General features: G+C 42.4%; 1 protein-coding gene and 2 long non-coding RNA genes across 22 annotated transcripts in view; 2 read left to right on the forward strand and 1 right to left on the reverse strand.

Moving 5' to 3' along the window:
* TSNAX-DISC1 (TSNAX-DISC1 readthrough (NMD candidate)) overlaps positions 1 to 13,061 on the forward strand; it is a 512,620-nt gene that overhangs the window by 263,981 nt on the left and 235,578 nt on the right. For 4 of the 6 annotated variants that reach the window (NR_028394.1, NR_028397.1, NR_028396.1 and 1 more), the window contains 2 exons: positions 2,609 to 2,663; positions 7,475 to 7,577. This is a non-coding gene — a long non-coding RNA (TSNAX-DISC1 readthrough (NMD candidate)). The remainder of the gene's footprint in view (positions 1 to 2,608; positions 2,664 to 7,474; positions 7,578 to 13,061) is intronic. The other 2 variants (NR_028393.1, NR_028395.1) reach the window with 2 other exon arrangements.
* DISC1 (DISC1 scaffold protein) overlaps positions 1 to 13,061 on the forward strand; it is a 414,483-nt gene that overhangs the window by 165,844 nt on the left and 235,578 nt on the right. For 10 of the 15 annotated variants that reach the window (NM_001164537.2, NM_018662.3, NM_001012957.2 and 7 more), the window contains 2 exons: positions 2,609 to 2,663; positions 7,475 to 7,577. The exons of 4 other annotated variants lie outside the window; for them this stretch is intronic. In NM_001164537.2, coding sequence (NP_001158009.1) covers positions 2,609 to 2,663; positions 7,475 to 7,577 — 158 coding nt within the window. The remainder of the gene's footprint in view (positions 1 to 2,608; positions 2,664 to 7,474; positions 7,578 to 13,061) is intronic. One more of the 15 variants, NM_001164545.2, reaches the window with a different exon arrangement.
* Positions 12,942 to 13,061, reverse strand: part of LOC105373170 (uncharacterized) — a 42,129-nt gene continuing 42,009 nt past the window's right edge. Inside the window, exon 4 of the long non-coding RNA XR_949268.4 lies at positions 12,942 to 13,032. This is a non-coding gene — a long non-coding RNA (uncharacterized LOC105373170). The remainder of the gene's footprint in view (positions 13,033 to 13,061) is intronic.

Raw genomic sequence — 13,061 nt, forward strand, 5'->3', positions numbered from 1 at the left:
GGCAGCAGGCATTAGCCACCCAAAGCTGGTGCTGCTGTTAGAATCAGAGGAAGAACCAGTACGGGTCCATGTTGGATGCCCTCTGTCCTTCTCACCACCCTAAGTGGTTTCATCTGCCCCAATCTCCATGTCTGTGTGACACTCTGACTTATGTTCTCTCAAAAGATCCAATCCCTGGCCAGCCAGAGTCTAGCATTCTCCAGGCAGGATTCCAAACATTGTTTTCCACTGTTCCCACTGAGTACACGAATTTTTGTCAGATGGCAGCTCCTGAATTCTGAAGAGTCTGGTGTCACATGCCCCACCTCTGTCAAACCTCACTTCTTCCATTTGGGCTGATCTCAGCTGGACTGGAAAACCCTCCTCTGTTGAAAGTAGGTCTAAAGTGGTAATGACTGATTAGTACGGACCTGCACCAGTTCCCAGGTATTTACAATTGAAACGAGTTTGCTTATACTCAGAAGTGACAAATTGGTGGATGTGATAACATCAAAATATAGTTCTTACAGTTGAAGAACAAACAAACAAAAATCAGCAAATTGGCAGCTTAGCTCCGATACTTGGCAACCTCTGGTATGAGATTTCCTGACACCCTGCACACTTTCCCTTCCCCTCCCAACACATACCCCAGAAACCTTGACCTTTCCTTTTGCAGGTCATCATTTAATCAAGTAATCACTCCTCTTCTAGCATCTATTACATTTTCTGGCATTTCTAGCAGCAGTAAGTGGTTGAGGGCAGGAACCATGTCTTCATGCTCTAAGTTCCTAGCTTGCTGGGTGCCCAGTAGATAGATATTTGAAGAATGAGTGAGTTCATGAATGCATGAAAGAGTGGAAAACTCTAGAATGGATGTTCTCACTGCTGTGAGCATCCACGTAATCCAGTCCTGTTCTTCCCTCCCCTTTCTGACCTCTATCACTCTGCGGGGCCCATGGACCCCATGACGGGCTTACACTGCTGAAGAGGCCTGTCTGGTTTTGTCACATTCAGACTTTCTTCCTCCAAATCATCTCTCATAGTGCAGCCCAATTATTTTTCTAAAAAACAAAAACACTTCTTTCATATTGCTCTCTTGCTAGAAAACGGAATGATTTCTCATTGCTTGAGGGATAAAACTCAAAACTCCTTAGTCTGGCATTTAATACTGACTAGAGCTTGCCCTTGATATTTCTTTAAAAATATTTTAATTGTAAATATTTCAAACATATTTAAAAATACAACACTCATTTATCCACTACTAGGATTAAACAAATAGTAGAATTTACCCCATATTTACTTTGATTTTCTTTCCCTGACTAAATAAATTTATTTTATTTTATTTTTTGGAGATGGAGTCAGGGTTTCACCATGTTGGCCACGCTGCTCGCGAACTCCTGACTTCAGGTGATCCACCCCCCAAGGCCTCCCAAAGTGCTGGAATTACAGGCGTGAGCCACCACGCCCGGCCCCTAACTAACTAAATAAGCAAACATTATAGATACAGATAGGCCCCACCCCATCCTTCTCTCTCTTTTCCTACCAGAAATAGTCATTTCCCTGTTTATCTTTCACAACTCACCTGTGAGAACCATTTGGTCCAGTTAGATTTATCTTCTTGCTAGAATTTCATTCTCTTTTTTTTTTTCCCTTTGAGGCCCAGTTCACTTTTCACCTCTTCTGGTAAGCTTTCCCACCAATCTCCTAGTTCTAAATTGCTGCACAAGTTATTTTCTCCATTGCTCAAGGCAGACAATATTCTGCCTGGTGACAGCTTTTATGTAGCAGTTTTCTCCTAGTATTGATTTTCTATTCCCCTTATAGTAATTTTTTCCTCTTGCTTTATATTATAGCGAATTGCATGCCTGTGTTTCTTCTCTACTAGGTAACAACCTTCAGAATAAGATCTGACTCTTAATTGCATTGATTCATTCATTCTACAGGTATTGACTGAGGGCTTACTAACAAGCTCCAGGAATTCTTTAAGCACTGGGGATGCAGGAGTGGACACAACAGACAGTCGCTGCCTTCATGGAACTTAAGTTCCAGTGGGAGAGAGAGAAATTACATGAATAAATAAATATGTCAAGATGAAAAGTGCTATGGAGAAAAGAGAAGCAGGAGAAGGCTAAGGGGGTGCTATCTCAGACATACTTTAAATATGTGTCTCTCCTTTATGCTCTATGTCAATGCCGAATGCAGAGGGCTCTGGGTACATATTTGCTGAATTGCATTGTCTACCCAAATAGATACTATTTGATTCCCTGCTGGTGAGACACTACTCAGTGTAGACCTTCCTTCTGGGAAGGTTGTTATAGGAATGCAGATTTTAATCCTTTGCTGCCAGGAGCACACCTTGGCTGTTCTTCCCGTTATCAGTAGATGTACACTCTGGGCATGATAAAATTGTAATACTAGCTTTAGTAAGGCATAATAAGGGAGGAAAGGTCTGTTTCCTAGCACCATATTTATTCCGTAGTCAAATGGAGCCAATTTGGCATCATCTTTCCTCCTGCACTTCTTCGTCCATCAGACCAGTGGAAGGTTCACTTTTTGCAGTGTTCCTAACTGTAGTGGTATTGAATTGTGGTTACCAAGAAGACCAATCTCCTCTTTTTAATTCTTCCAGCCTCCAGGAAAGAATAAAATCCCTCAACTTGTCACTTAAAGAAATCACTACTAAGGTAAGTACCTTTATATTCCCATTTTCCAAAGAAGCCTATGAAGTTTTCGTTTGACTTGATTTTACATCTAGATCTTAGGATACCTGGCTTCTGCAAAAAAAGATGTAGACTTTGTCAAGCCATTTTGCAGGCCCAATGATGAGTTAAAAGAGCCAGGAGAGAGTGCTTCTGTCATAGTGGAGGTCTTGACTTGTGGACACCCCAGAAATGGACTGGTTTGGCCTTTGCTACAAAAGGAGCTGTCAATTTAGGGACTGAAAAAGGACTGCCACTATGCATATTGAAAGCCTTTGCTTAAAGATGCATTCGGGGCTTGGTGCGGTGGCTCACGCCTGTAATCCCAGCACTTTGGGAGGCCGAGGTGGGTGGATCACCTGAGGTCAGAAGTTTGAGACCAGCCTGACCAACATTGTGAAACCCCGTCTCTCCTGAAAATACAAAAATTAGCTGGGTGTGGTGGAGGGTGCCTGTAATCCCAGCTACTCAGGAGGCTGAGGTAGGAGAATTGCTTTAACCCAGGTGGTTGAGGTTGCAGTGAGCCGAGATTGCACCATTGCATTCCAGCCTGGGAGACAGAGCGAGACTCTATCTCAAAGAAAAAAAAAATGCTTTCAGGATGGTAGTAATTTGAGAAATTAATTACTTTTCTTCCCAGGAGGGCAATGTCTGGTTTCCTCACAAATAGAACAGTTGGTGACTGTTTTTTTGTTCTTTAAAGCTTTTCAGTTGGCTTGACAATCATTTTGCCTACTTTATCCATCGTTTATACTGCCATAGCAAGACCTTGGTTTGTGTACAGACAGAATACGTCTTCACTATTCCCTGAGAGCACAGTCAATTAAATAGTCAATGTCCTCATTAGTTAGGATAACCACAGTTTACAAAACAAAAGCCCTTCTCATATGTATTTATACCTGGCCAAGTTATTGACAGACTGAGAAACAGGATCAATTACTCTGTGAATTATGACTAAATGTTGTGGCAGAGAACTGGGTATGAATCATTCATTATTTGCAGTTGGTCTGGGAACGAGGGGTGGTTGTACCATGGTCGAAATGTAAAAAGGACAGCTTGCTGAGCAGAGAGCAACGCAGCTGAGAGCCTGTTGGCCTGGAAGGACTCTCTTCCGGTCTCTGTGCCCAGAGAAAGAAAGTCTTGGACCCTAGATCAGGAAACACGCCAAGGGATCACCGCAGCTAAGCCAGAATCAGGGATGTGATGTTGGCAAAAATGTCTGGAGTTACTCTGTGCATTTTCTCCATTTCTGTATCTAATTTATTTCTGAAAACAACACCCAGTGATTTTGCTAAAGGTCACAGAGCCGCAGGTTTGATGGGTAATTATAACTTGTGTACAAAGAGAGCTTCCTGTTAGGAACAAGTGGTGCCCGTAAGACAGCATCGGAGCCAGGGACCCAGAAATGCTTGACTTCTGCTCTGCTCACCCAAAGGTTCTTTCACCCAGGCTGGAGTGTAATGGCATGATCATAGCTCACTCAGCCTTGATCTCCCGGGCTCAGGTAATCCTCCTGCCTCAGCCTCCCAAGTAGCTGGGACTACAGACACATGCTACCTTGCCCAGCTAAATTTGTTTGATTTTCAGTAGAGACCAGGTCTTGCTAGGTTGCCCAGGCTGGTCTTGAACTTCTGAGCTCAAGCGATCCTCCTGCCTCAGTGTGTCAAAATTGGGATTGCAGGCAAGAGCCACCGCACCTGGCCTCTCTTACATTTTCTGCTGTTTATCAGGTGCGTCCTGATTTCTATGTAGAATTAAAAGATGGGAGGACTGTCTTGGGTCTGAGTTTATTGACTATCTTCAGAACATACTGTATGGGTAATATGAATGCATCTGTACACCAACGTTGAGGATACAGGTGTGCCTATTATATAATGCAGATGGTGCTTATATGGGTGTGTGTATGACACTGTATATTGTGGATACACACATATACTGATACGCACCCAATATTAGGATTTGCTGAAAATTTCCAACTACTATTAAAGATCTTAGATTTTCCCAAATATCAAAAATGGGTTGTTTTGTTTGCATACAGTCCTACTCCATTTGAGTTGCTATAACAAAGTACTGTAGACGAGGTGGCTTATAAACAACAGAAATTTAATTCCCATCACTTTGAAGCCTGGAAGTCTGGGATTAGGGTTCCAGCATGGCTAAGTTCTGGTGAGAGGCCCTCTTACAGGCTGCAGACGGTTGACTTCTTGTTGTATTCCTGCATGGAAGAAAGAGGGCAAGGCGGGGTCTCTGGGGCTTCTTTATAAGGGTACTAATCCCCTTCATGGGGGCCCCACCTTCATGACCTGATCACCTCCCAAAGGCCCCACCTCCTAATGCCATCACCTTGGGAGTTAGACTTTCAACCTATGAATTCTGGGGGGAAAAAAACATCTCCAACCATTGCACATACCTTCTCTAATACATTTATAAAACTTTATAATTACTTCGCTTTTCCATAAAATTAAGGAACTCACATCTTTGATTTTAAAATGTAAACATAAAAGCCCCATTTGATAATGAGTTCCTTGGTGTCCAATTTTATTTGTAAATAAAAAGGATACACAGGTTTTCCGGGGATGTGTATGTGTGTGTGCAGAGGTGGATAGGTGTGTGTGCACAGACACGAATGTGTGTGTGTGTTGTGGGCAGGGGCCTATATTAGTCCACAGAGAATTAAAACAAAACTGTCCAGTCACACAAAACACCTTTCTCTGTACTTTAAACTAGATTGACCAGTGACCATGAGCTGAGACCAAGGTCTCAGCTTGACATAGCTTTCTTTCTCTAGTGTGTTAGACACACCACACACACACACACACACACATACACACACACCCCTACCTGATATTCTTTAGACTCCTGTCTCAGAAAGAAATGAAACCTTCCTTGCACTCATTACATTTCTTAAACTCTTATGGGTTACCCAAACCAAAAGTAATTAAGGGATAAATGAGATGGAAGAAACAGTTGGAAATAAATGGGATATCTGGAGATTGGTAGATATTAGATTACATCCAGCAGAGCCTGAAAGAATGAACATTGCAATTTAATAAGAAGATTCAGAAAGGTTGTTTAGTATTAATATTGACAGCTTGAAAGATAGATTTGCTCAACAAAGGAGAAACTGACTCAATTATGATTAACAGATACTGTTCACTAAAATCAGAAATATTGGACATAGACTGGATGAGACATAAGAATTATGGCTGGTATTACAGAGTTAATGGAAATGCCCTCAGACCTCAGATGACATTATTAAATAGATAGGATGGGATGTGCCAGTCATCTGGTTTGAGCCAAACTAAGACTTGGTGCTGGGGGAAGGGATATCTTCCTTTTAACTCTGAAAAGTCTCAAGACTGTTGAAAGGGTCTCGGAATTAATTACTTTGGACATGCGGATGCCCAACATCACCAGTGCATGCTTTGGTTTAGAGGCTACCAAACTGTCGTCTTCATCCAGAGAATGATTTTTATAAAAAAGATGTTGGAAAATTACAGCCACTGAATAGAACATATGGAAGTCCATGAGAGAAAGAGTGGAGTATTTTAGGCAGGATGGATGAGGTCTGCTTTGACTCCAAAAATAATCTCAATTCAAACTGATATAAGAAAACATTTAAAGTTGATGGTGTCCCACAAACCTTAGATTCTTCTGGGAAATTAAATTTTTCTAGGTAGCTCATTAATCTGAGTCTAGATAACATTGGCATATGAAAAGTCTTGAGACTGTTGAAAGGGTTCAAAAAAGGAAAAAAATGTGATGTTTTAGCCTCCAACAAAATAAAAGATAACCTAAAGACATTTGGAAAAAGAAATTAAGATTTAAGATTTTTGCTATTTTTGAAAAACCAAAGAAAAAAACTGTAGGATGTGTTTGGAATGTCATGGGAAAATACATGATAAAACTCTCAAACCTCACTGAGAGTTACTTGTCTATTTTTCAAATCTGACTTGCCAGCAAGTATCTATCTGCCTTCAAAGTTTCCCTAAACAGTGTCTATTAATACTAGTAATTAAATTTAGCTTGCAGCTTTGACCTTCATCTCAATGGCCATATCTTTATTCACTGCGTACTATGTGCCAGGCACAGAGCAAAATCCCTGCTCACATAGAGCTCGTATCCCGGCAGAGAGACAATGTGGAAACAAAGGAATAGAATTACATGGTGTATCATCTGAGAAGAAGCTGTGGAAGAACATCAAGCGGAGGGAGGGCCAAGGGAGGTTGCTATTTTGGGTGGGTAATCAGTAAGGCCTTTCCTCCCAGGCAGCGACTGAGCAGTCTGGAAGGGTATGAGTGAGCCAAACCACCTGGGACTACAAAAGTGATGCAGACAGGAGGATTCGGCAGAGGCCTGGAGAAGGCAGGAGGCAGGAGTGATGCAATTATGTTACCTTGTGGTTGCTCTCTGTTAGCTCCTATCAGTTTTGTAATTGGATGTGGGGTGATGATGGGCATATGCTTGGAATATGCCATTGCTCACTTTATTTTTGTTCTTCTTCCTACATTTCCCTCCCTCTTTCCCTTCTCTTTCCTTCCCTTCCTTTCCCTTCCCTTCCCCTTCCCCTTCCCTCCTTCCCTTCCTCCCTTCCTCCCTTCTTCCCTTCCTCCCTTTCTCCCTCTCTTCTTTGTCTTTCTTTTTCCATTGCTTGCTTTTTGAACATTGTCTTCCAATTACTTTTCATCACCCCTTTTAATTACTTACAAACCCAGAAATCTCTGACCTGGCTGTTCCACTGCCTTCTGATTTTTAGCTGAATAAATGATGATTCCTGGTCATTTCTCTCCCCCTAGGTGTGTATGAGTGAGAAATTCTGCAGCACCCTGAGGAAGAAAGTTAACGATATTGAAACCCAACTACCAGCCTTGCTTGAAGCCAAAATGCATGCCATATCAGGTAACTGGCAGTGTAGGAGACGTTGAAGCTATCCAACTAAAATAATGACAGCTACCAGCACATCGTGTTTTGTCCTCGATGAACATTCCACTGTTATTATGTCATTCTCAGACATCTGAAAGCTTTTCTGGGAAGTTTCACTAATATGCACATAATATAGCACAAGGTGTTTAAGTGAGTACCGTATTTGGGATTTCTAGTTCCTGTTTCTTGAAGAGTTTAGAGACTAAATGTACTCTGTGTGCCATATGATTCTAGCAGATGTGTATGTAGCATTGTGTATCTGTAAATACTGAATGAGGATTATTGGGTGTGATCAGACCCTTTCTATAGAGGGAAGGATGGTAACATGAGACAAATTAATGTCCTCAGTTTGAAAATCTAGTCATAGAAACTTGGCGAATCCTCAAAGGATTATGCTCCCTCTTACTCTGGCAGTTATTAAGGAATTGATTTTTCCATTAATTAGTAGCTTGAAGTCAAGAGTCTCTGAAAACAGTATCTTATCCTATCATTAGTGCTTTCAAACACTCCTCTGGATTTGTTATTTTATTTTCACAATTGCTATATTAGGTAGATGGGAGAGAGACCGTGATCCGAATGGACTGATGGGGAGGTTGAGGCTGCGGGATGTGTCCTTTGGTTAAGGTCACTCAATTAGCTAAGCAGTGGCAGATCTGGGGCTAAAGTCCAGGCCCTCTCTCGGTGTATTATATATGGATTTTTAACCCAGTTATGTAATGACAGCTTCAAAAAGTTCTCTGAGTTTTATAGGTTGAATGGACCCAGAGCTCATCAGCTTCAAAAGAATCATAAAAATTTAACAAAAAGTTATAATAATTACATGTATGTGTTTTAAATGGTATTTTAAGAAGGAATACAATAATTGGCAGCTTCTGCTCCTCAGATCATTAAACAACTAATGTTGGCAGCTAAAGAGCAATTTGGTCCCTGGTGCAGTCACGCGTATTATTTACAACCAGTAGAACATGGCAGCGCAAATGTGGGGCTTGGCTCTTAACAGCTTCACATGCCATTTACTTGAAATTATGGGCCCATTTGCTGAGAGAAAAAAAAAGAAGATTGAACACAGTCTTGCTTCTGAGTTAGGGTTTTTGCCTTTCTTAATCAATATATCTTTCCCAGGAATACCGGTGGATGAGTCTGTGTTAAGCCCAAGGGAAGAAATGTATAATTCAGGCAGCAGAGATAGCCTCACTCCAATGTGAACAATCTCTCTTCAGACTCCAGGGAAAATGCCCAAGATGGTATATTGCGTATGGCGCAGGTTTCCTGTTTTAGCTCTTTGGTCAGCTGAGAAAATTGGTGAGGCCTGATCTGCTGAAGGATGACCTGAATTAACCCTCCTGGTAACTGACCTTTTGACCTCACTATTTTCTGGTTGCTCTGTATGCTCTTTGGTGGACCGGCCTTTCAGTCAATGGGCTGTCCCCATAGGTGATACTAGTGTTAAGGTGGTCAACATTTGTTTGCAACTCCTGCATATAATGCTATTTCTGTTTTCTCCTGTTTCAATACCTTCAGAATGGGCAAACCCTCACTCCATTAGGTAAGATTCTTAAAAGCCCTATTGAATGGAAAGGATCTTGGTTTTTTTTTTTTTTTGAGTCAGAGTCTCGTTCAGTCGCCCAGGCTAGAGTGCAATGGCGCGATCTCGGCTCACTGCAAGCTCTGCCTCCTGGGTTCATACCATTTTCCTGCCTCAGCCTCCCAAGTAGCTGGGACTACAGGCACCCGCCACCACGCCCGGCTAATTTTTTGTATTTTTAGTAGAGACGGGGTTTCACTGTGTTAGCCAGGATGGTCTCAATCTCCTGACCTTGTGATCTGCCCTGAATGGAGAGGATCTTAAGGGAGGTCCTTAAGATTCTTAGGGGGTCTTTTGTCTCTCTTCAAGTTTCTATGATTCGCTTAGATTTATAGACTGATTGATATGGTTTGGCTCTGTGTCCCTACCCAAATCTCATCTCAAATTGTAATCCCCACATTCAAGGGAGGGACCTGGTGGGAGGTGTTTGGATCATGAGGGCGGTTTCCCCCATGCTGTTTTCGTGATAGTGAGTGAGTTATCATGAGATCTGATGGTTTAACAAGTGTTTGGTAGTTCTTCCTGCATTCATTCTTCTTGCCACCTTGTGAAGAAGGTGCCTTGCTTTCCCCTTGCCTTCCGCCATGATTGTAAGTTTCTTGAGGCCTTCCTAGCCATGGGGAACTGTGAGTCAATTAAATCTATTTTCTTTAAAAATTACCCAGTCTCAGGTGGTATCTTTATAGTAGTGTGAGAAAGGACTAATACATCCATCCTGACTTTGATCTATGGCCTGAGGTCCTTTCTTAATTTGAGAACTATTTGCCATTTGCAGAGAGTAGGAATAACAAATTAGTTTCATTTTCAAACCTGGCCAGATCTAGCTCCTTTACATGTAACAGTTTATTCTTTAATTCATCTCTCTTCTCTTGCATTTCATCACAGGCATTGACAGGAGGTCAGTGGGCACTTCTGTATTCTGCCTGGAAATCTCCTTGGATGTCTAACTACAATTATTAGGGACTCTTTTTTATATTGCCTCAGTTGGTAACTGAGTGACTTTTTTGCCACTACAAGGATCTTTTTTTTTCTAGTTTCTGATATATTTTTCTTACTTTTTTCTATCCTTCACGGAGGCCCATGAGGCTTCTGCCTACTACCAAGTCCCAAAACCAATGCCTCGATTTTAGGATTTTGTTACAATAGTATCCCATATCCAGATACCAAAATCTATTTTCATTATCTACTGCTGCCTAATAAAAAATAAGTCACTTTAAGACGTAGTGACTTAAAATATTACCAGTTATTTATTTTGCCCATGGAAATACAATTTGGGCAGGGCTTGGCAGGGACAGCTAGGGTGGCTCAACTGGGGTGGGAGAATCCACACCCAAGACGGTGCATACATATGGTCTGGCTGTTGAGTGCTCTCTATGTGGGCCTCTCTATAGGCAGCTTGGCTTCCTTACAACATGGCTGCTGGGTTCCAAGAGCAAGTGTCCCAAGAGAAAGGAAATGGAAATTTCTTATTCTTAAGGTCTGAATTCAGACACTGGTATGCATCTCTATTAATGTGTAATAAGTGGCTCCTCAAACTTCATAGCTTGAAACAACAAACCTTTATCTCTCACAGTCTCTGAGAGACAGGAGTCCAGAGTGACTTAGCTGGGTGGCTCTGACTCAGGGTCTCATAAGGTCGCTGTTAAGACACACTTTGGAGCTGCAGTCGTCTAAAGGCTTGGCTGGGGCTGAAAGATCTGCTTCCAAACTCATGCATGTGTTGTTAACAGACGGCTTCAGTTCCTTGCCACAAGAGCTGTGCCCTAGGACCTCTTGCAACATAGCAGCTGATTTCCTCAGAGCCAGTGATCTGAGGGAGAGAGACCAAATAAGACAGAAGCCACAGATGCCAGGCGCGGTGGCTCACGCCTATAATCCCAGCACTTTGGGAGGCCGAGGTGGGTGGATCACGAGGTCAGGAGATCAAGACCATCCTGGCTAACATGGTGAAACCCCGTCTCTACTAAAAATACAAAAAATTAGCTAGGCGTCATGGCGGGCGCCTGTAGTCCCATCTACTCGGGAGGCGGAGGCAGGAGAATGGCATGAACCGGGAGGCGGAGCTTGCGGTGAGCCCATATCGCGCCACTACACTCCAGCCTGGGTGACAGAGCAAGACTCCGTCTCAAAAAAAAAAAAAAAAAAAAAAAAAAAAGCCACAGTGTCTTGTTAGGACTTAGCCTTCAAAGTCACACAGCATCACTTCTGCTTAGTGACTAGAAGCAAGTCACTAAGTTCAGTTCAGCCCACAGGCAAGGGGAAGGAAACAGGTTTTACCCCAAAGGAGGAGTATTAAAGAATTTGGTGGGCATATTTTTATAACCACTGCAGTGTTACTTCCATTGTGTTTTATTGGTCCAGCATTCCTGGTGTGCTGATTCAAGGGAAGGGCCACTATAACAAGTCTCAATGAGAGGTGTGTCAAAGAGTTTCAGTGCCATGCTCTAAAAAGTGCCACAGTATTTATTGAGACAGAAGGATTTTGAGAACTGAAGACCTGGACAGAGAGCTTTTCAGTCAGAGGAAATGGCCTGTTCCATTTATTTACTGAAAAGAAAAATATCATGGAGCATCTAGGAAGTGTCAGATCTGGTTCTAGGTACTGAGGATGCAGTAGAGAACAGGACAAGATCCCCCTTCCTTTTTTTTTTTTTTTGAGGCAAGGTGTTGCTCTGTTACCCAGGCTGGAGTGCAGAGGTAAGATCATAGTTGACTGCAGCCTTGAATTCCTAGGCTCAAGCCATCCTTAGCCTTAGCCTCTGGAGTCACGGGATTATAGGCATGAGCTCCTGGCTCAATGTCTCTTCTTTTTTGATAGCTGTGTTCTCCCATTGGCCACAGTGGAATGGAGCTAGATATGCCTGGGCTGAATATGGAGGAAAAGCTCAGCTATTTCTTCAGGAGGAAGAGTAGTCTAGATTGGCCCAGGTATAGGATTAGTATTGTGGTAGCTCTTCAGAGTTGGTTAGGACCAGGATACACAGAGCTCTGAATTGTAGGCTAAGGATAAGAGCATTTTAGGGAGCCATTACCATGTTTTAGCGGAGTAGTGACATGATTAAAACCAGACTTTAGGAAGCGTAATCCGGCCATGTTGTACACAGAGGGATGGATGTGGCAACACCTTGGGAGTCATGGAATTAACTAGGATGTTAGAAATGAAAAAAGGAAGAAAAGTAGGCTAGTATAGGAAATCTACTACAGATAGGTAATTATTGATTTTTGGAAGAACCATGATGATATTAATATATCCAGTTGAGTGTGGTGTAATACACATTAAGAAAAGTAATTTAGAGAGCCCATTGTTTCTCTCCCTTTTCACTGTACACACCTTAAGTGTGTTTTAGTCACCTCTTTTTTTCCATTCTCTATTTCTGTTTCAATTTTCCTGTTCAGCAGAGGATAGTTTGGTTTAAAGCCGATAGCAAAAGTGGATTCTGTTGTTGCTGTCCTTCCTAGACATATCAGTCCGTTCTCACACTGCTGTAAAGAAATACCTGAGGCTGGGTAATTTATAAAGAAAGGAGGTTTAATTGGCTTATGATTCTGCAAATTGTACAGGAAGCATGGCAGCATCTGCTTGGCTTCTGGAGAGGCCTCAGGAAACTTACAATCATGGCGGAAGGTGAAGGGGAAACCAGCACTTCACACGGCCAGAGCAGGAGGAGGGGGGTGGGGGAGGTGCCACGCACTTTTAAGTAGCCGGACCTTGTGATAACTCACTATGGCAACAGCATCACCAAGAGGGATGGTGCTAAATCATTAATGAGAAACTGCCCCTATGATCCAATCACCTTCCACTGGTGCTAAATCATTAATGAGAAACTGCCCCTATGATCCAATCACCTTCCACTGGTGCTAAATCATTAATGAGA

This window comes from Homo sapiens, chromosome 1 (assembly GCF_000001405.40).
Source record: "Homo sapiens chromosome 1, GRCh38.p14 Primary Assembly".
Lineage (NCBI taxonomy): Eukaryota > Metazoa > Chordata > Mammalia > Primates > Hominidae > Homo > Homo sapiens.